Genomic DNA, 22725 nt, shown 5'->3' with positions numbered 1-22725 from the left:
GAGCAACAGAGTGAAATCCTGTCTTTAAAAAAAAGAAGAAGAAGGAGAAACTGAAAAAGTGAGTCCTCCCATCTCTGAAGGTGTTGGAGGAGAGGGTGGGCCTAACCAGCCCTGGCCACTCTCAGGCCACACTCTGCTGAAGAGCCTCAGGCTCCTCTCAGTTTTCCATCTCCACAGCAAGAAGGCAATAATACTTCATTTTACAGATGAGGAAATTCAGGCAGAGGAAGATGATTCAACATCCCAGGGTCACATAATCTGAAATGGGAAAGTGCTGAGAATCTGGTCTGTTTAGCTCCAAAACTTAAGTTTTTTTCCTATGGAAGGGGAAGGTCACTAAACATTTCTTTGAAAACCTACCAGCCTGCCTTATGTGGATTTAGCTCATTTAACCCCCTGAATAAATCTGGGAAATAAATACCAGCCTCATTTTACAAGCAAAGAAATTCAGATTCAGAGATGTTAGATACAGCCTGGCGCGGTGGCTCACGCCTGTAATTCCAGCACTTTGGGAGGCAAGTGGATCACTTGAGGTCAGGAGTTTGAGACCAGCCTGGCCAACAAGGTCTACCAAAAAATACAAAAATGAGCCAGGCATGGTAGCACGTACCTGTAGTCTCAGCTGCTCGGGAGGCTGAGGTGGGAGAAATTGCTTAAACCTGGGAGATGGAGGTTGCAGTAAGCCAAGATTGTACCACTGCACTCCAGCCTGGGTGACAGAGTGAGACTCTGTCTCAAAAAAAAAAAGAGATGTTAGCCCAAGCCCAGGGTTACATGGCTCCAGTTGGTGACACAGGAATCTGAACCCAGGTCAGTCTGACCACAAATCCAGGTCAGTGCAAAAAGTCACGAGTCTGCTCAAGGGGGTCTGCAGCTGGCCCGTGGACATGCGATGGCACTTACATTCTTCTGGTTTGCTTGAGGCCACATATAGAAAAGTATCTATAAAGCCCTCATGTTAATGTCTCACATGTAGAGCCAGGTGGCCTTTTGAGCTTAGGTAGCTTTGTGCCTATTTATCGTCTGGGCTTTCAAAAAGAGTTTGTGGAATAGGTATATATGAGAGGTACATGTATTTCCTGGATGGACAGAAGCCGTGACTCCCTGTTTAGTATGGAGCCAGGCAAGTCTGGCACTCAGTATTCAGTTTAGCACTTCCTGCACACAGGCAGGCTCATCTAGTCTCCAGCCCAGCCCTACAAGCCCCTCACATGCCCAGAATGCCAGTGGGAAACTAACACTCTGGGAATTGCCTATAAGCCTGTAGACTCCATAGCCTCCTGCCACAGCTGAGTGTGAGTGTGGACCTCAGCAGCTGAGGAACTCTGCTCCAAGGCTTTGCTTGGTGGAGTTCAGCAGCAAAACCCTATGTGACAGCCTGTCCTGTCAAAAACTTGCTCCTGCTCCCACACAAGCTGCCTTTTTTTTCTCTTATCAGGAGCATCAATTCCTCAATCCCCATTCCGCTTTTACTGCCTCTGCCCACTTCCTGCTATCTTCTTCCCCAACTCTGAGTACAGCCACATACTTCTGGAAACTCATGATAATCTGTTTCAGATATTCTTCCTGGAGCACATTCATACTGTATTCACACATTGCAGAGCACACATTCTGACCTTCAGTTCTGACCTTTTCTTCAGATTTACACACATCCTTTCATTTTCCACTAGCTCCCTATGCTCTTGTAGTCACCTCCTAATTACCCAGTTTTGTTTGTTTTTTTAGAGACAAAGTCTCATTGTGTTGTCCAGGCTGGTCTTGAACTCCTGGGCTCAAGCAATCCTCCTGCCTCAGCCTCCCAAAGTACTGGAATTACAGGCATGCACCACCATACCCAGCCCAGTCTTCCAGTTTTAACCCATTCTACATACCACTGCCAGACTGTCCATATACCACATTTTAGACTGTCCCTAAAATGTGGCCCTTTGAGTCTGGCAAACCCTGCTCCAGTCAGTGCCTGTCTCATCCAGGAAGGCAAGGCCTTGTGTCTGCATCTGAGGACACATACTCAAGCTGCTTCCTTTACTGGTCCTCTGTCATCAAGTTTGGTTTTCTCCCACCAGTGAGTGTGATTTCATTTCCAGCTCATCCTCTGGTCCTGATGTATTGAAAGTCTTCCATATGCCACTGCAGGGGCTTTGCACACAAACTGCTACTGTCTGGCTGCCACCCTCAAGAAGCTTATAACCTAAGTGAAGGAAGGAGACATGGGCATATAGACGGATTCCAGGCACAAGGCCGCATATTGTTGTATGACAGGGCGCCAGATGTGTGGTACTGGCCCCTTCCCATTGTCCACAGATTTTTTTCTTTTTTTTTTTGAGTTTTCGCTCTTGTTGCCCAGGCTGGAGAGCAGTGGCGCGATCCAGCTCACTGCAATCTCTGTTTCCCAGGTTTGGGCGATTCTCCTGCCTCAGCCTCTTGAGTAGCTGGTATTACAGGCACACACCACCATACCCAGCTAATTTTGTTTGTATTTTTAGTAGAGACAGTGTTTTGCCATGTTGGCCAGGCTGGTCTCATACTCCTGACCTCAGGTGATCCACCCGCCTTGGCATCCCAAAATATTGGGATTACAGCCATGAGCCACTGTGCCTGGCCACAGATTGTTTTTTCAAGTAAAAACTATTAAGATTTTTTTAAAAGCTGGATGTGGTGGCTCATGCCTGTAATCCTAGCTACTTAGGAAGCTGAAGCAGGAGGAACCCTTGAGCCCAGGAGATCAACACCAGCCTGGGCAACATAGTGAGACCCTCATCTCCCCACCAAAAAAAATTTTTTTTAATTTTAAGGTTCTTTTAGAAGGTGTTCTAAGGGAAAAAAAATGTTTTTAAGTGTTCGAAAGTACCCAAATATAAACACCTCAGAGTTTAAAGGCGGAGATTTCCACTCAGTGGCTGGGAGTGTCCTGGGAGTGTGAAAGTGAGAGCCTTGGAGATGGGGACACCCAGCTAAGGGAAGGGAGGGAAGTAGAGAAAAAGGGAGGGAGGTGGAGGAGAGAAGGAGGGAAGAAGAAGGAGGGGAGGGAGGAGACAGAGGGGAAGAAACGAGAAGTGGAGGGAAGGAGAGATTGAGAGAGGGAGGGAGCACAGACAGGCAGGCATTCCAGAAGAGAATGAGAACTGTGGCATGTCAAGTTGCTGAGGGGCAAATTCCCTCCTCTGATCAGTAGCTAGTAGAGACTGACTGAAAGGGAATGCCACTCTATAGGGGGTTAGGTTTTGTAGGGTGATGCTTACTCTCTGCCTCACGCTGTTCACATGTCCACACCACCGGTTGATGAATCTCCTCACACTGCTTTGAGAGTACAAAGACAAGTCCAGTAGCAGGGTGGAGGATGAGTCTGGGGAGGAAGAGAGCTTGGGCTAGACAATCGGAAAACGAAGATCACTGGATCTTGATGAGATGGGGTTGAGTCTGGATTGGCACATCTTATTCTACTCCAAAGACATGTGAAAGTCCTGCACCAACACAGCTGAGGAGAAAGAAAAAGAACCTCTTGAAAGCAACAGCATTTGAACCATTTTTCCATACCAAGGAGAGTTACAACCCCAGGGCGGGTCAAGGCTTTGAGAGGACCCTGAGCCCTGAGGCCTTGGCCCAAGAGCAAGTCCTCAGAATTGTGGCATAGTCTAAATTGCCGCTTGCCAGAGGAGAATGGGAGCCCTTTAAAATTCACAAGTAAGTTGTTCTTGGGATAAATCCCAGTTTGTTCCTGTCTTCTGATACCTTCATCCTTCCTTCGTCAGGAAGAAAAGAAAACAAAACTTCCTGTTTTCTCCAGTACAGTCCAGAGATGAGCAATCACATGTACCCTTTTTTTTTTTTTTTTTTTTTTTTTGAGGCAGTCTCACTCTGTCACCCAGGCTGGAGTGCAGTGGTGCAATCTCGGCTCACTGCAACCTCTGCCACCCAGGTTCAAGCGATTCTCCTGCCTCAGCCTCCTGAGTAGCTGGGATTACAGGCACCTGCCACCACGCCCGGCTAATTTTTGTATTTTTAGTAGAGATGGGGTTTCACCATATTGGTCAGGCTGGTCTTGAACTCCGGACCTCGTGATCCACCCACCTCGGCCTCCCAAAGTGCTGGGATTACAGGCGTGAGCCACTACCCCTGGCCTTGTTTTGTTTTTGTTTTTGTTTTTGTTTTGTTTGTTTTGTTTTTTTTGAGACGGAGTCTAGCTCTCTTGCCCAGGCTGGAGTGCAGTGGCGCAATCTAGGCTCACTGCAACCTCCACCTCCCAGGTTCAAGTGATTCTCGTGTCTCAGCCTCTCAAGTAGCTGGGACTACAAGCACATGCCACCACGCCCGGCTAATTTGTGTATTTTTAGTAGAGATGGAGTTTCACCACGTTGGCCAGGCTGGTCTCGAACCCCTGGGCTCAAGTGATCCACCTGCCTCAGCCTCCCAAAGTGCTGGGATTATAAGTGTGAGCCACTGCCCCCAGCCTATCCACTTTTCTACAAGGTCACTGCTGCATCATTATGAGGTCATTGTTCCACCCTTTCTACATTGCAGCTGGCTACTCCAGAACACCTGGTGGTCAGTCTTCTTACCCATCCATGCTGGATTTGGTGCTATTGTAGGATGGTTTCTTTCTTACTCCATGCATAGAGACACACTGGAAAAAAAGATCACAAAATTATCACCAGAGTAAGAAAGGAAAAAAGCGTCGGGGTGAATCGTACTAAGGAACCACAGCCAGAGGGTGCAGTGGGGACTGAGGAGGACTCAAGGCCCATTGAGGAAAGGGGGCTGGCTAGGCTCGACTCCCTGACTATGGGACTAGAAAAGACTTTGTAATCCCAACACATCAGGAGGCCAAGGTGGAGGATCACTTGTGTCCAGGAGTTCAAGACCAGCCTAGGCAACATAGTGAGGCCCTGTCTCTACAAAAAATCAAATATTAGTCAAGCGTGGTGGCATGTGCCTGTAGTCCCAGCTACTTAGGAGGCTGAGGTGGGAGGTTCACTTGAGCCTGGGAGATGGAGGCTTCAGTGAGCTGTGATTGTACCACTGCACTCTAGCCTGGACAACACAGTGAGACTCTGTCTCAAAAAAAATTAAAAGACTTTATGTCCTTGAAATTGACCTAGATAAATGACACAAACACTCTCACAGGAAATCAAGGAAGTTGCCATCTGCCCAGAGTCACAGGTGCAAAAATAGAGCCCCCATTCTGAGAACCATGTCACTGCCCCGCAGATCAATGAATACAAAAACTGGGCAGCAAGCAACAGACCTGCAGGAAGTGAACTAGGCAGACTCAGAACCATGCCGTAAAGATGTTTATGTGGGGCCGGGCACAGTGGCTCACACCTATAATTCCAGCACTTTAGGAGGCCAAGGCGGGCAGATCACAAGGTCAGGAGATCGAGACCATCCTGGCTAACATGGTGAAACCCCATCTCTACTAAAAATACAAAAAAAATAGCTGGGCATGGTGGCAGGCACCTGTAGTCCCAGCTACTCGGGAGGCTGAGGCAGGAGAATGGCGTGAATCCGGGAGGCGGAGCTTGCAGTGAGCTGAGATTGCGCCACTGCACTCCAGCCTGGGTGACAGAGTGAGACTCCATTTCGAAAAAAAAAAAAGTTTATGTGTCCCAGGACACACGGGACTTTAATGGAAACACCTTTTAAAAAAAGTACAAACTTTGAGAGGCCTAGGAGGGAGGACTTGAACTCGGGAATTCAACAACAGCATGGGCAACACAGGGAGACCCTGACTCTACAAAAGATAAAATAAAAAATTAGCCAAGCTACTTGGGAGGCTGAGGTGGAAAGACTGCTTGAACCAGGGAGGTCAAGGCACAGTGAGTCATGATCACACCACTGCACTCCAGCCTGGGCAAAAGAATGAGACCCTGTCTCAAAAACAAAAACAAAAACAAAAAAAACCATACAAGAAGGCAAACCACCATTAAAAAAAGAGCAGCTGGATTTTAAAAATAATTAGAAATTGCATAAATGAAAGATACAGTCCAGGCAAGCTGACTCATGCCTGTAATCCCAGCACTTTGGGAGGCTGAGGCAGGAGGATCACTTGAGGTCAGGAGTTCGAGACCAGCCTGGCCAACATAGCAAAACCCCATCTCTCCTAAAAATACAAAAATTAGCTGGGCACGGTGGTGCACACCTGTAGTCCCAGCTACTCGGGAGGCTGAGGCAGGAGAATTGCTTGAACCCATGAGGCGGAGGTTGCAGGGAGCCAAGATTGCGCCACTGCACTCCAGCCTGGGCGACAGAGCGAGACTCCTTCTCAAAAAAAAAAAAAAAAAAAAAAAAATTGCAGGTTGAGTATCCCTTCTCTGAAATTCTTGGGACCATCTTATTGAATTTGTGATTTTTTTTTGGATTTTGAAATATTTGCATATACATTATGAGCTATCTTAGGGATGTGACCCCAGTCTAAACACAAAATTCATTTATGTTTCACATACCTTATACATGTATCCTGAGGATAATTTTATACTATATATATATATATATATATATATTTTTTTTTTTTTTTTTTTTTTTGAGATGGAGTCTTGCTCTGTCGCCCAGGCTGGAGTGCAGTAGCACGATCTCGGCTCACTGCAAGGTCCGCCTCCCGGGTTCACGCCATTCTCCTGCCTCAGCCTCCCAAGTAGCTGGGACTACAGGCACCCGCCCCCGCGCCCACCACCACGCCCAGCTAATTTTTTGTATTTTTAATAGAGACAGGGTTTCACTGTGTTAGCCAGGATGGTCTCAATCTCTTGACCTCGTGATCCACCCACCTTGGCCTCCCAAAGAGCTGGGATTACAGGCCTGAGCCACCACGCCCGGCTTATACAATATTTTTTTAAAATGTTGTACATAAAACAAAGTTTTGATTGCATTTTGACTACAACCCATCACATGAGGTCAGGTATGGCATTCTCCACTTGTGGCATCTTGTCAGCACTCTAAAAGTTTTGGATTTTGAATTTTGGATTTTTAATTAGGGATACTCAATTTGTACCAAAATTAGGCACTACCAGAGGAAGTAAATACTGTAACTATACCCCTTTTATAGATAAGGAAACAGACTTAGCATAAATCACTGCCCCAAGGCTCCCCAGGTGGTAATGATAAAAGTGGACTCAAAGCCAGTCTGACCAGAGCTCATCTCAGAGTGGAGAACGAGCTGGAGGCAGCACTACAACCCAGAGGGTGTCGAAATCTCCAGGGAGGCCACTGACCTAAAACCAGGCCCCTGGAGCCCAAGTTGGGCCCAAGGTATTCACCATCTCCCACCTCTGGATGTCTCCTCCCACTGCAGCTTCAGCTAGTGCTGGGGGTTGACTGGTTGTAGCTAGGGTTAGAAATTTTGAAAAAGCTTAAATGTCCACAACTTTTAGGGATATATGTATATATGTTAGTTACTGTTTGCCTAAAGTATTCCCCAAAAATACTGAAATTCAGGAAATTAAGCATCTGGCTGAACAACAGTCTTTTTTTTTTTTTTTTTTTTTTTTTTTGCGGGCAGGGTGGGCGGGTTTGTTTGTTTGTTTTTGAGACGGAGTTTTGCTCTTGTTGCCCAGACTGGATTGCAATGGTGCGGTCTCAGCTCACTGCAATCTCTGTCTCCCAGGTTCAAGTGATTCTCCTGCCTCAGCCTCCCAAGTAGCTGGGACTAGAGGCGCCCACCACCACAACTGGCTAATTTTGTATTTTTAGTAGATACGGGGTTTCACTATGTTGGCCAAGCTGGTCTCAAACTCCTGACCTCGGCCTCCCAAAGTACTAGGATTACATGTGTGAGCCACAGTGCCCGGCCAGTTTGTTTTTTGAGACAGAGTCTTGCTCTGTCACCCAGGCTGGAGTGCAGTAACACGATCTCGGCTCACTGCAACCTCCACCTCCCGGGCTCAAGTGATTCTCATGACAGCCTCCCGAGTAGTTGGGATTACAGGCACGTGCCACAACGCCCAGCTAATTTTTGAATTTTTAGTAGAGACAGGGTTTCACCACGTTGGCCAGGCTGGTCTCAAACTCCTGGCCTCATGTGATCTGCCTGTCTCAGCCTCCCAAAGTGCTGGGATTACGGGCCTGGTGGCTCACGTCTGTAATCCCAGCACTTCGGGAGGTTGAGGTGGGCAGATCACCTGAGGTCAGAGTTCGAGACCAGCCTGGCTAACACAGTGAAACCCCGTCTCTACTAAAAAGATACAAAAAAATCAGCCAGGCGTGGTGGCGGGCGCCTGCAGTCCCAGCTGCTCAGGAGGCTGAGGCAGGAGAATGGTGTGAACCTGGGAGGTGGAGCTTGCAACAGAGCCGAGATCACGCCACTGCACTCCAGCCTGGGTGACAGAGCGAGACTCCGTCTCAAAAAAAAAAAAAAGAATCCATTCTATTTCTTCCCAGATCTGCATATGTGAAAAATATCTATTTTAAATATGCAATTCAGTTAGCAATTATGTAAATCTATTATGAAATAAATATGAAAAAAGTTTTTTCTATGAAAAGCAGATTTAAAAAGAGTGGATTAACACAAATTGCTTTCTTTTTTTTTTTTTTTTTTTTTTTTGACAGAATCTCACTCTGTTGCCCAGGTTGGAGGGCAGTGGAACAATCTTGGCTCACTGCAACCTCCATCTCCTGGGCCAGCCTCCTGAATAGCTGGGACTACAGGCATGCACCACTACACCTGACTAATTTTTTTTTTTTTTTTGAGACAGAGTCTCTTGTTGCCCAGGCTGGAGTGCAATGGCTTGATCTTGGCTCACCGCAACCTCCGCCTCCTGGGATCAAGCGATTCTCCTGCCTCAGCCTCCAGACTAGCTGGGATTATAGGCATGCGCCACTACGCCTGCCTAATTTTGTATTTTTAGTAGAGATGGAGTTTCTCCATGTTGGTCAGGCTGGTTTCGAACCCCCTACCTCAGGTGATCCTCCCGCCTCAGCCTCCCAAAGTGCTGGGATTACAGGGGTGAGCCACCTCGCCTGATCTTTTTCTTTCTTTTTTCTTTTTTTTTTTGAGATGGAGTCTTGCTCTGTCGCCCAAGCTGGAAGGCAGTCGCACGATCTCGGCTCACTGCAACCTCTGCCTCCCAGGTTCAAGTGATTCTCCTGCCTCAGCCTCCTGAGTAGCTGGGATTACAGGCGCCCACCACTACACCTGGCTAATTTTGTATTTTTAGTGGAGATGGGGTTTCACCATGTTGGCCAGGCTGGTCTTGAACTCCTGACCTCAAGTGATCCTCCTGCCTCAGCCTCACTAAGTGCTGGGATTACAGGCATGAGCCACTGTGCCTGGCCTGATTTCTAGCTTTTGTTTTGGAAAATTGCCTAATAAGTAATAAAAGTAATAATGAATGGGCTGGATGTGGAGGCTCACACCTGTAATCCTGGCACTTTGGGAGGCCGAGGTGGGAGGATCACTTGTGACCAGGAGTTCAAGACCAGCCTGGCCAACATAGTAAACCCCTCATCTCTACTAAAAATACGAAAATTATGGCCTGGCATGGTGCCTCATACCTGTAATCCCAGCACTTTGGGAGGCCAAGGCAGGTGGATCACCTGAGGTCAGGAGTTCAAGATCAGCCTGGGCCAACGTGGTGAAACCCTGTCTTTGCTAAAAATACAAAAAAATTAGCTGGGTGTGGTGGCGGGCACCTGTAATCCCAGCTACTCAGGAGGCTGAGGCAGGAGAATCACTTGAACCCAGGAGGCGCAGGTTGCAGTGAGCCCAGATTGTGCCATTGCACTCTAGCCTGAGCAACAGAGCACGACTCCGTATCAAAAATAAATAAATAGCCAGGCGAGGTGGCTCACGCCTGTAATCCCAGCTACTCAGGAGGCTGAGGCAGGAGAATCGCCTGAACTTGGGAGGCGAAGGTTGCAGTGAGCAAAGATTGCGCCACTGCACTCCAGCCTGGGCGACAGGGCAAAACTCCATCTCGAAAAAAATAAAAATAAAAATAATAAATAAATAAATAAATAAATAAAAATACAAAAATTAGCCAGGTGTGGTAATGTGCACCTATACTCAACGCCGTCTCTACTAAAAATACAAAAATTAGCTGGGGGTGGTGGCGGGTGCCTGTAATCCCAGCTATTCAGAAGGCTGAGGCAGGAGAATCGCTTGAACCCAGGAGGCAGAGGTTGTAGTGAGCTGAGATAGTGCCATTGTACTTCAGCCTGTGAGACAAGAGCAAAACTCTGTCTCAGAAAAAAAAAAAAAAGTAATTTTTGAACAATATATTTGTTTAAGCACTTGGAGTGAGCCACATACTACTGATTTATTTTAAAATGTATGTTTTTGAAATTTTTCATATGTAATGCAGGTAAAAATAAGTCCTCTGGCCACAGTCCTTGAGCCTCTACTTGGAGACACCCACTGTGAAACATTTCTTCTCTGTCCTCCCAAGGATATTATAGTCACATGCAAGCATAAAGATACATTTAATTTTACTTTTTACAAAAACAGTGGCATATGTTATATTGCATTCTACTGTTCTTTGTTTTTCTAAATCTAACTTTACAAAATCTATGTCTACGTCTGTCTGAGGCTATTTTGAGGATGTACTACATTGGCCTTTATCTACTTTCTTTCTTTTTTTTTACGTCTGTCTTTTTTTTTTTTTTTTTTTTTGAGGCGGAGTCTCGCTCTGTCGCCTGGGCTGGAGTGCAGTGGCACGATCTCGGCTCACTGCAACCTCCGCCTCCTGGGTTCAAGCAATTCTCCTGCCTCCAGCCTCCTAAGTAGCTGGGACTACAGGTGCCCGCCACCATACTCAGCTAATTTTTATATTTTTAGTAGAGATGCTTGCATGTGCATAGAATATCCTTGGAAGGACAGCGAAGAAATGTTTCACAGTGGGTGTCTCCAAGTAGAGGCTCAATGACTGTGGCTAGAGAGGACTTATTTTTACCTGCATTACATATGAAGAGTTTCCGCCTGCCTTGGCCTCCCAAAGTGCTGGAACTACAGGTGTGAGCCACCATGCCTGGCACATTGGTCTTTTTTTAAAAAATAGAGACAAGGTCCATGCCTGTAATCCCAGCACTTTGGGAGCTGAGGCGGGCAGATCACGAGGTCAATAGATCGAGACCATCCTGGCCAACATGGTGAAACACGTCTCTACTAAAAATACAACATTAGCCGGGCCTGGTGGCGGGCCTCTTTAGTCCCAGCTACTCGGGAGGCTGAGGCAGAAGAATCGCTTGAACCCGGGAGGCGGAGGTTGCAGTGAGCCGAGAATGCGCCACTACACTCCAGCCTGGCGACAGAGCAAGACTTCGTCTCAAAAAAAAAAAAAAAATTACGACAACATCTCACTTGGTTTCCCAGGCTGGTCTCGAACTCCTAGGCTCAAGTGATCCTCCCACCTTGGCCTCCCAAACTGCTGAGATTACAGGCATGAGCCACAGCACCCAGCCTACACTGGTCTTTTAACAATTACTTCTATCTCGTCATGTTGGTGGTTTCAGCAGGACAGCAGTGCCTCCAGGAGGCACTTTGAAGATTTGTGGGCCTCCAACAGTGGTTGGGGAGATGTTGCACATCTTGTCATGCATGGCACTGTCCACATGACTGAAATGTCCAGCCAGATGTTCATGTACATGAATAACTCATTTATCATTGCCTAAGTCTAGAACTCTATTTTACATATAAACACAAAGGGGTTTGGTTGTAGTTTTGCTTGTTAAAAGTTTTAACATCCCTGACATTCTCCAGGCCTGTAAACTGCTGTGTAATCAGAGAGAAGAATGAACTTTATTTTACTTATTTACTTTTATAAATTTTTTTCTTTGGAGATGGGGTATCCCTATGTTGACCAGGCTGGTCTTGAACTCCTGGCCTCAAGTGATCCTCCCATCTTGGCCTCCCAGAGTGCTGTGATTACGGGCATGAGCCACTGTGCCTGGCCAAAGCATGAACTTCACCTTCATTGTTTGGAATTTTGTTGAGTTGTTCATCACTTCTGGAAGTCAGCTGGTGTCACCTGAGATACTGAAAGACACCTAAACTGCACTCCTTGCTACAAGCAGTTACAGCAGGATGGACTCGACCTCTCACTGTACCCTCTCCAGTGATCTTAGAGACCCAAGCATTTACAGAGTGAAACATGCCAGGCACAGTGGCTCACGCCTGTAATCCCAGCACTTTGGGAGGCTGAGGCAGGCAGATCACCTGAGATCAGGAGTTCGAGACCAGTCTGACCAACATGGAGAAACCCCGTCTCTACTAAAAATACAAAATTAGCTGGGTGTGGTGGCGCATGCCTGTAATCCCAGCTACTCGGGAAGCTGAGGCAGGAGAATCGCTTGAACCCAGGAGGCGGGGGTTGCGGTGAGCCAAGATCACGCTATTGCACTCCAGCCTGGGCAACAAGAGTGAAACTCCCTCTCAAAAATAATAATAATAATAATAATAATAATACAGAGTGAAACACATATTATTTCATCATCAGGGATTTCCCTTTCCTTTGTCCTTTATTGTCTAGTTAGACCTTACTGATCTTTAAAAATGTTGTAAGAAAGTCACACCCATAATTTGAGTTCAGGGCAGTAAAAGGAAGCAGTGGATCTGTAAGGCTATTATAAATTAATAGGCGGGGCGCGGTGGCTTACGCCTGTTATCCCAGCATTGTGGGAGGCTGAGGTGAGCAGATCACCTGAGGTCAGGAGTTCGAGACCAGCCTGGCCAACATGGTGAAACCCCGTCTCTACTAAAATTACAAAAATTAGCTGGGCATGGTGGCGGGCATCTGTAATCTCAGCTACTCAGGAGGCTGAGGTAGGAGAATTGCTTGAACCGGGGAGGTGGAGGTTGCAGTGAGCTGAGATCACACCACTGCACTCCAGCCTGGGAGACAGAGTGAGACTCCATCTCAAAAAATAAAATAAAATAAAATAATATAAAATAATAAATTAATAGAGAACTGTAATTTGTTTAGCCAGTCCCCTATGATGAATATTTATACTGTTTCCTAAAATTGCATTTGTACATAACCATTGATTCAAACAAAGCAAGAAAATTTAAAACATGAAGGAGAAAAAATAGTATTTCAGAATTTAAGGTTCTAAAGATAACCAATCTCATTTCCTCTTGCATTTATTTATATTTTATATTAATATATGTGTGTGTATATATATTTATTTATTTATTTATTTATTTATTTTGAGATGGAGTTTCGCTCTTGTTGCCTAGGCTGGAGTGCAATGGCGCGATCTTGGCTCACTGCAACCTCCACCTCCCAGGTTCAAGTGATTCTCCTGCCTCAGCCTCCCGAGTAGCTGGGATTACAGGCATGTGCCACCATGCCCGGCTAATTTTATATTTTTAGTAGATACGGGGTTTCTCCATGTTGGTCAGGCTGGTGGTCTCAAACTCCCAACCTCAGGTGATCCGCCTGCCATGGCCTCCCAAAGTGCTGGGATTACAGGCGTGAAGCACTGCGCCCTGCCGTATTTTTTTTGAGACAGTCTTGCTCTGTTGTCCAGGCTGGAGTGCAGTGGTGCAATCATGGCTCACTGCAGCCATGACCTCCTGGGCTCAACCAATCCTCCTGCCTCAGCTTCCTGAGTAGCTAGGACTACAGGCATAAGCCATCATATCCTCCTCTTTCATTTAAAGTAATCCTGTCATTAAAGCAGATTTACTTTTCACCACTGACATTACTATCCTGGCCCAAGCCCCTTTCCTCACTCCTGGATGATGCAGTAGTCTCCAGATTTCACTCCGCCACATAGTCTATCCTCAACAGACTTCAGTCAAAGTGACCTTTTTAAGAATGGTGGCTTAGGCCGGGCGCGGTGGCTGATGTCTGTAATCCCAGCACTTTGGGAGGCTGAAGTTGGCAGATCACCTGAGGTCAGGAGTTCAAGACCAGCCTGGCCAACATGGCGAAACCCCGTCTCTACTAAAAAATACAAAAAATTAGCCGGGCGTGGTGGTGGGCGCCTGTAATCCCAGCTAGTTGGGAGACTGAGGCAGTAGAATTGCTTGAACCTGGGAGGTGGAAGCTGCAGTGAGCCGAGATCACGCCACTGTACTCCAGAGTGGGTGACACAGCAAGACTCCGTCTCGGGGGGGAAAAAAAAGGTAGCTCTGTTGGGCACAGTGGCTCATACCTGTAATCCCAGCACTTTGGGAGGCCGAGTCAGGTGAATCACCTGAGGTCAGGAGTTCAAGACCAGCTTGGCCAACATGCCAAAACCCTGTCTCCAATAAATATACAAAAATTAGCTGGGTGTGGTGGCGCTCGCCTGTAATCCCAGCTACTCGGGAGGCTAAGGTAGGAGAATCACTTGAACCCGGGAGGTGGAGGCTGCAGTGAGCCGAGATTGCGCCACTACACTCTAGCCTGGATGACAGAGTGAGACTCTGTCTCAAAAAAAAAAAAAAAAAAAAAAAAAGAAGAAGAACGGTGGCTCATGCCTGTAGTCCTAGCACTTTGGGAGACCAAGGCAGGCGGATTGCTTCAGCCCAGGAGTCTGAGACCAGCCTGGGCAACATGGTGAAAGCTTGTCTCTACAAAAAATTTTAAAAGAATTTTTTGGCCAGGAGTGGTGGGTCACACCTGTAATCCCAGCACTTTGGGAGGCTAAGGCAGGCGGATCACTTACGGTCAGGACTTTGAGACCAGCCTGGCCCACATGGTGAAACCCTGCCTCTACTAAAAATACAAAAACTAGTCGGGCGTGGTGGTTCACTCCTATAGTCCCAGCTACTTAGGAGGCTTGAGACACAACAATCGCTTGAACCTGGGAAGCGGAGGTTGCAGTGAGCTGAGATAACACCAGTGCACTCCAGCCTGGACAACCAAGCAAGACTCTGTCTCAAAAAAATTTTTTTTTAATATTAGCCAGGTGTGGTGGGTGGCACATGCCTGTAGTTCCAGCTACCAGGAGGCTGAGATAGGAGAATCGCCTGAGGCCAGGAGGTCGAGGCTGCAGTGAGCTGAGATCAGTTCATTCCAGCCTTGGCAACAGAGCAAGACCCTATCTAAAAAAAAAAAAAAAGTTAGGCAAATGCTGTCACTCCTCTGCTCAAACTTCTATAGATATATGGATCCTATTTGGATGTAAATTCAAATAAGGCAACTGGGAAAACAATTATTTAATATATTGAATAAAAATACATAAGTCCATAGTGACAGGAGGAGGGAGGGATCAGAAGGGTACTTTACAACTGCAAAAGGGAATAATTGATTCAGACAAATATAATTAATGCCAAAACACAACAATCAGGTGAAAAGGCTCTCTTCTTGGAAAGAGGGTCTTTATGCAGAGGCAAAATATCACCCCTCAAGATTACCTAATTTTCAGAAAAGGGAAAAGATACCTTTCCAGTGGAGCAGTCTGGCAGGCATTACCTTAACTGCAAGTTCAAATTTAGCCTCACTGATGAGTCAGCCTGAGACTTTGTGCCTCCTGATGTGAGGCAAGATTAAGTACACAAAGTATCACCTATGAAATCTTCCTGCTAAATATGATGAATTTGAATCCAATTAAGCTTCTAGGCCTAGTGTAATTTCCAATTTACAGAAAATACAGGAGCTAAAAGAGAAAAACAGGAAACAATTAGCTCCAGAATAATGGACATTCCACAAAGTCAATGTCCTGAACTCTTTGTTTTATTTGTTTCTTTATTTTATTTATTTATTTATTTTTGAGATGGAGTTTTACTCTTGTCGCCCAGCCTAAAGTGCAATGGCACGATCTCAGCTCACTGCAACCTCCACCTCCCAGGTTCAAGCAATTCTCCTGTCTCAGCCTCCTGAGTAGCTGGGATTACAGGCATGTGCCACCACGCCCGGCTAATTTTTTATTTTTTAGTAGAGATGGGGTTTCACCATGTTGGCCAGGCTGGTCCTGAACTCCTGACCTCAGATAATTCACCTGCCTCGGCCTGGAATTGCAGGCGTGAGCCACCGCACCCAGCTGTTTTATTTCTTTTGGAGACAAGGTCTGGCTCTATCACCCAGGCTGGAGTGCAGTGGCACAATCACGTCTCACTGCAAACTCCACGTCTCACTGCAAACTCCACCTCTCAGGCTCAAGGGATTCTCCCACCTCAGCCACCTGAGTAGCTGGGACCACAGGCTCGCATCCAGTGTGACCACAGGCTCACACCTGGCTAATTTTTGTATTTTTTGTAAAGATGGGGTTTCACTATGTTGCCCAGGCTGGTCTCCAACTCATGAGCTCAAGCAATCTACCTGCCTTGGCCTCCCAAAGTGCTGGGATTACAGGAGTGAGCCACCGTGCCCAGCTGTCCTGAACTTTTTTTTTTTCTTTGATACACAGTCTCGCTCTGTCTCCAGGCTGGAGTGCAGTGGCATCTGCCTCCCAGGTTCAAGTGATTCCCCTGCCTCAGCCTCTTGAGTAGCTGGGACTACAGGTGCGTGCCACCACCCCCGGCTAATTTTTTGTATTTTAGTAGAGACAGTGTTTCACCATGTTGGCCAGGTTGGTCTCGATCTCCTGACCTTGTGATCCACCTGCCTCAGCCTCCCAAAGTGCTGGGATTACAGGCGTGAGCCACTGCGCCCAGCCTGTCCTGAACTTTTAAAAGAGTCAACATCGGCTGGGCGCAGTGGCTCACGCCTGTAATCCCAGCACTTTGGGAGGCCGAGTTTGGAGGATCACTTGAACTCAAGAGTTCGAGACCGACCTGGACAACATCGTGAAACCCCCTCTCTACTAAAAATACAAAAATTAGCTGGGCGTGGTGGCATCAGCCTCTAATCCCAGCTACTTGGGAGGCTGCGGAAGGAGAATTACTTGAACCTGGGAGGCGGAGGTTGCAGTGAGTGAAGATCGCCCATTGCACTCCAGCCTGGGTGACAGAGTGAGACTCTGTCTTAAAAAAAAAAAAAAAAAAAGAGGCCGGGCGCGGTGGCTCACGCCTGTAATCTCAGCACTTTGGGAGGCCGAGGCGGGCGGATCACGAGGTCAGGAGATCGAGACCATCCTGGCTAACAAGGTGAAACCCCGTCTCTACTGAAAATACAGAAAATTAGCCGGGCTTGGTAGCGGGCGCCTGTAGTCCCAGCTACTCGGGAGGCTGAGGCAGGAGAATGGCGTGAACCTGGGAGGCGGAGCTTGCAGTGAGCCGAGATCGCGCCACCGCACTCCAGCCTGGGTGACAGAGCAAGACTCCGTCTCAAAAAAAAAAAAAAAATCATTTTCACTTAAGGGAAACAATGTCGCCATGCACCTGTAATCCCAGCTACTCAAGAGACTGAGATTTAGCCAGTCCCCTAAGATGAATATTTATATTTCCTAAAATTGCATTCATACAGAACCATTGATTCAAATAAACAAGAAAAACATGGAGTAAAAAAAAATAAAGTCCAGGAGTCCAGTCCTGCACTGAGTTCAGGAGTTTGAGGCTTCAGTGAGTTATATTGCACCACTGCACTCCAGGTTGAGTGACAGAGCAAGACTCCATCTCTAAACAAACAAACAAACAAAGTGGGAAGGAGCAAAGACCACACAGTGTATGATTCACTGTAAAAGTCCAGCCAGGCCCAGTGGCTCACACCTGTAATCCCAGCACTTTGAGAGACAGACGTGGGAGGACTGCTTGAGCCCAGAGATCGAGACCAGCCTGGGCAACGTGATGAGACCTCTTCTCTACAAAAAACTTAAAAATTACCCAGACGTGGTGGTACATAGCTGTGGTCCCAGCTACTTGGGAGGCTGAGGCAGGAGGATCACTTGAGCCCAGGAGGTCAAGGTGTTAGTGAATGATGTTCGTGCCATTGCACTTTAGCCTGGGTAACAGAGCAAGACCCTGTCTTAAAAAAAAAAAAAAAAAAAAGTCCAGAAACAACAAATCTATAGAGACAGAAGGCATGTTTGCAGTTGCCAGGTGGTGAGGGGACTGCAGTTGAAGCAAGATTGACCACATATGGAAACAAGGCCTTGTACTGGGGTGATGGAATGCTCTAAAACTAACTGAAAATTATTGAACTGTGCTCTTAAAAAGGGTAATTTTGGCCAGGTGCAGTGGCTCACTCCTGTAATCCCAGCACTTTGGGAGGCCAAGATGGGTGGATCACCTGATGTCATGAGTTTGAGGCCAGCTTGGCCAACATAGTGAAACCCCGTCTCTACTAAAAATGCAAAAATTAGGTGGGCGTCTGTAATCCCAGCTACTTGGGAGGCTGAGGTGGGAGAATCACTTGAATCCAGGAGGGGGTGGTTGCAGTGAGCCAAGATCAAGGCCACTGCACTCCAGCCTGAGTGACAAAGACAGACTCCATCTCACACACACACAAAAAAGGTAATTTCATGGTATGTAAATTATAATCTCAATAAATTTTTAAAAGCTAGTAAGCAGAAATTACAGGTTTTGGTTTTGTTTTGTTTTTTAAGGTGGAAAGACTGCTCTGGAGTAAAAGAAACCAAAGACACCTAACAGTCAAATGTAATGTGTAAAACTAAATTAGATCCTGGGAATGGTGGAGAGAGGAGGAACAGTTATAAAAGACATTCTAATTGTATGTAAATTATACCTTAATAAGAATGATTTTAAAAATACATCCTCATAGAAAGAGCAGGATTGAAATAGAATTTTTTTTTATTTCTTCAAAAAAAAAAAAAAAAAAAAAAAAAACAGGCCAGGCATGGTGGCTCACACCTGTAATCCCAGCACTTTGGGAGGCCGAGGTGGGCAGATCACCTGAGGTCAGGAGTTCGAGGTCAGCCTGATCAACATAGTGAAACCCCATCTCTACTAAAAATACAAAAATTAGCTGGGCATGGTGGTGCCTCCCAGCTACTTGGCAGGCTGTGGCAGGAGAATCACTTGAACCTAGGAGGTGGAGGTTGCAATGAGCTGAGATTGTGCCATTGCACTCCAGCCTGGGTAACAAGAGCGAAACTCTATCTCAAAAAAAAAATAATAAAAATATGGAATACATGTGTAGAACATGCGGGTTTGTTACATAGGTATATGTGTGCCATGGTGGTTTGCTGCACCTATTAACCCTGAAATAGAATTTTATTTATTTATTTATTTTGAGACAGAGTCTCGCTCTGTTGCCCAGGCTGGGGTGCAATGGTACGATCTTGGCTCACTGCAGCCTTCATCTCCCAGGTTCAAGCGATTTTCCTGCCTCGGCCTCCTGAGTAGCTGGGATTACAGACATGCACCACCATGCCTGGCTAATTTTGTATTTTGAGTAGAGATGGAATTTCACCATGTTGGCCAGGTTGGTCTCGAACTCCTGACCTCAAGTGATCTGCCCACCTCGGCCTCCCAAAGTGCTGAGATTACAGGCATGAGCCACCGTACCTGGACTGAAAAAGAATTTTAAAAAGCAATAAACATAAAAACACATTATAAGAACAAGGGGGAACATCTGACTGTGAACCAGATATTATAGATTTTACAGATTTTCTGAGGTGGAGAAAGGCATTGGCTGACTTTCCCAGAAATAGTTCTTGTGTTCTCAAAGACCCTGAGGCCACACTCTAACCCAGCCTGCTCAACTTGCCTTCTCCTGGGAGCCTGCCTCATAATAGTGGCAATTTCGACCTTTCTTTGCACAATTAGGTTTGTGCTTGCTTCTCACTTTTTCTCAATATGTTTTTAGGGACACAGGTGCTAGAGATTGATGAACACAAAAATTGGAATCATGGGCTGAGCACGCCTGTAATCCCAGCACTTTTGGAGGCCGAGGCAGGAGGATCACCTGAGGTAGGGAGTTCGAGACCAGCCTGACCAACATGGAGAAACCCAGTCTCTACTAAAAATACAAAATTAGCCGGGCATGGTGGCACATGCCTGTAATCCCAACTACTCGGGAGGCTGAGGCAGGAGAATCGCTTGAACCTGGGAGGCGGAGGGTTGCGGTGAGCCGAGATTGCATCATTGCACTCCAGCCTGGGCAACAAGAGCAAAACTTCATCTCAAAAAAAAAAAAAAAAATTGGAATCATGGTTCCCTCTGAAGAGGAAAGAGCGTGCAACTGAAGAGGGCTTGCAAAGGGCATTTCTGGGATACTAGTAGATATGCTGGGGTTCTTTTTATTTCTGGTCTTTAAACTGTATTTTATAGACTTGTGGTAGGCAACTCTTAAAGATGGTCCCTTATCCCCACCTCTATAAATTGGGTTTCATCATGTTGGCAAGGCTGGTCTCGCACTCCTGACCTCGTGATTCACCCGCCTTGGCCTCCCAAAGTTCTGGGATTACAGGCATGAGCCACCATGCCCGGCCGCCTGGGTAATTTTTCTGTTTTTAATATAGACAGAGTTTCACCATGTTGCACAGGCTGGTCTTGAACACCTGGGTTCAAGCGATCTGCCTGCATTGGCCTCCTGGGTGCTGGGATTACGGGCGTGAGCCACCATGCCCAGCCTAGAATATTTGTAAAGGGATCAGAAGGGGTCTATCACACAGTTACTGTGATATTTCTTCTGAGCCTTCTCTGAACCAAGCTTTAGCCTAGGTACTGGGATACACTGGTGAAAAGCTAGACAAATCCCTGCTGGGTGTTTACACACTAACAGAACTGTTCATGCATGTACCATGTGCTAACCACTCTTCTAAGTACTTCATATCTAATCCCCACAACTCTGAGAAGCAGAGTTTTTAGTTTTTTGGTTTTTTTTTTTGAGCTGGAGTCTTGCTCTGTCACCCAAGTCTGGAGTGCAGTGGCACAATCTCCGCTCACTGCAACCTCTGCCTCCCGGGTTCAAGTGATTCTGGTGCCTCTGCCTCCCAAGTAGCTGGGATTACAGGGGCGTGCCACCACGCCCAGCTAATTTTTGTATTTTTAGTAGAGACGGGGTTTCACCATGTTGTCCAGGGTGGTCTCAAACTCCTGATCTCAGGTGATCTGCCTGCCTCAGCTTTCCAAAGCGTTAGGATTACAGGCGTGAGCCACCACGCTGGGGCAAGTATCTTTTTTTTTGTTTGAGACGGAGTCTCTGTCATCCGGGCTGGAGTGCAATGGGGCCAATTTCGGCTCACTGCAACTTCCACCTCCCAGGTTCAAGCGATTCTCCTGCCTCAAGCCTCCTAAGTAGCTGGGATTACAGGCGCATGCCACCATGCCTGGCTAATTTTTGTATTTTTAGTAGAGACGGAGTTTCACCATGTTGGTCAGGCTGGTCTCGAATTCCTGGACTCAGGTGATCCACCCGCCTCAGCCTCCCAAAGTGCTGGGATTACAGGTCTGAGCCACTGTGCCCGGCCCTGAGTATCTTCTTATTCACTGTGTAAGGCGTGGATATATACAGCAAACTCACAGTGTGGTCTAGGCAAACTCCCGCCTCTCAGCTTGTAAGTTTCCTAAGGGTTTCCATGAGAGCCTCCAACCAGCAGAAAAATGATGGGTTTTCCTGGTTACCTTTCTTCCAAGCTCCACTTCTTTCTCAGGGTAGCCATTTGAGACCTTTCTGACCAGGTCAAATCTTACTACACAAGCTGATGCCGCAATACCAGCTTGGCATCTGACTCACTTTCCTTTTTCTTTTTTTTTTGAGACAGCATTTTGCTCTTTTGCCCAGGCTGGAGTGCAATGGTGCGGTCTCGGCTCACTGCAATGTCCACGTCCGCAGTAGCTGGGATTACAGGCTAATTTTTTGTATTTTTAGTAGAGACGTAGTTTCACCACGTTGGTCAGGCTGGTTGCTAACTCCTGACCTCAGGTGATCCACCCGCCTTGGCCTCCCAAAGTGCTGGGATTACAGGCATGAGCCACCATGCCTGGCCCGGCCTTCCTTTCAAAAGGTCTGTTGAGGGAGGAAATTGTCTACTTTGGCACATAATTATCTTCCCAGTGGTTGGGCATGGTGGCTCACACCTGTAACCCAAGCACATTGGGAAATGGAGGCAGGAGGATTGCTTGAGGCCAGTTTTTTGTTTTTTTCTTTGAGACAAGAGTCTCACTCTGTCACCCAGGCTGGAGTGCAGTGGCATGATCTTGGCTCACTGCAAGCTCTGCCTCCCAGGTTCACACCATTCTCCTGTCTCAGCCTCCCAGGTAGCTGGGACTACAGGCACCTGCCACCATGCCCGGCTAACTTTTTGTATTTTTAGTAGAGACAGGGTTTCACTGTGTTAGCCAGGATGGTCTCCATCTCCTGACCCCGTGACCCGCTCACCTCAGACTCCGAAGGTGCTGGGATTTCAAGTGTGAGACACCGTGCCCGGCCGAGGCCAGTTTTTCAGACTAACCTGGACAACATAGCAAGACTTTTTTTTTTTGATACTGGGTCTTTCTCTGTCACCCAGCTGGAGTGCTACCACAGCTCACTGCACCCTCGACCTCCCAGGCACAAGGGATCCTCCCACCTCAGACACCTGAGTAGCTGGGACCACAGGCATATGCATCCACATCCAGCTTTCTTTTTTGAGACAAAGTCTCACTCTTGTCCCCCAGGCTGGAGTGCAATGGCCCAATCTCAGCTCACCGCAACCTCCACCTCCCAGGTTCAAGGATTCTCCTGCCTCAGCCTACCAAGTAGCTAGGATTACAGGTGCCTGCCACTATGCCTGGCTAATTTTTTTTTGTATTTTTAGTAGAGATGAGGTTTCACCAGGTTGGCCAGGCTGGTCTCAAACTCCTGACCTCAGGTGATCCGTCCACCTCGGCCTCCCAAAGTGCTGGGATTACAGGAGTGAGCCACCACACCTGGCATCCCAGCTTATTTTCTTATTTGTAGAGTCAGGGTCCCCCTATATTGCCCAGGCTGGTCTCAAACTCCTTGGCTCAAGGTCCTCAGGCCTTGGCCTCCCGAAGTGCCGGGA

This window comes from Homo sapiens, chromosome 7, assembly GCF_000001405.40.
Source record: "Homo sapiens chromosome 7, GRCh38.p14 Primary Assembly".
In the NCBI taxonomy this organism is placed as follows: Eukaryota; Metazoa; Chordata; class Mammalia; order Primates; family Hominidae; genus Homo; species Homo sapiens.
This window is presented reverse-complemented; position numbering follows the sequence as displayed.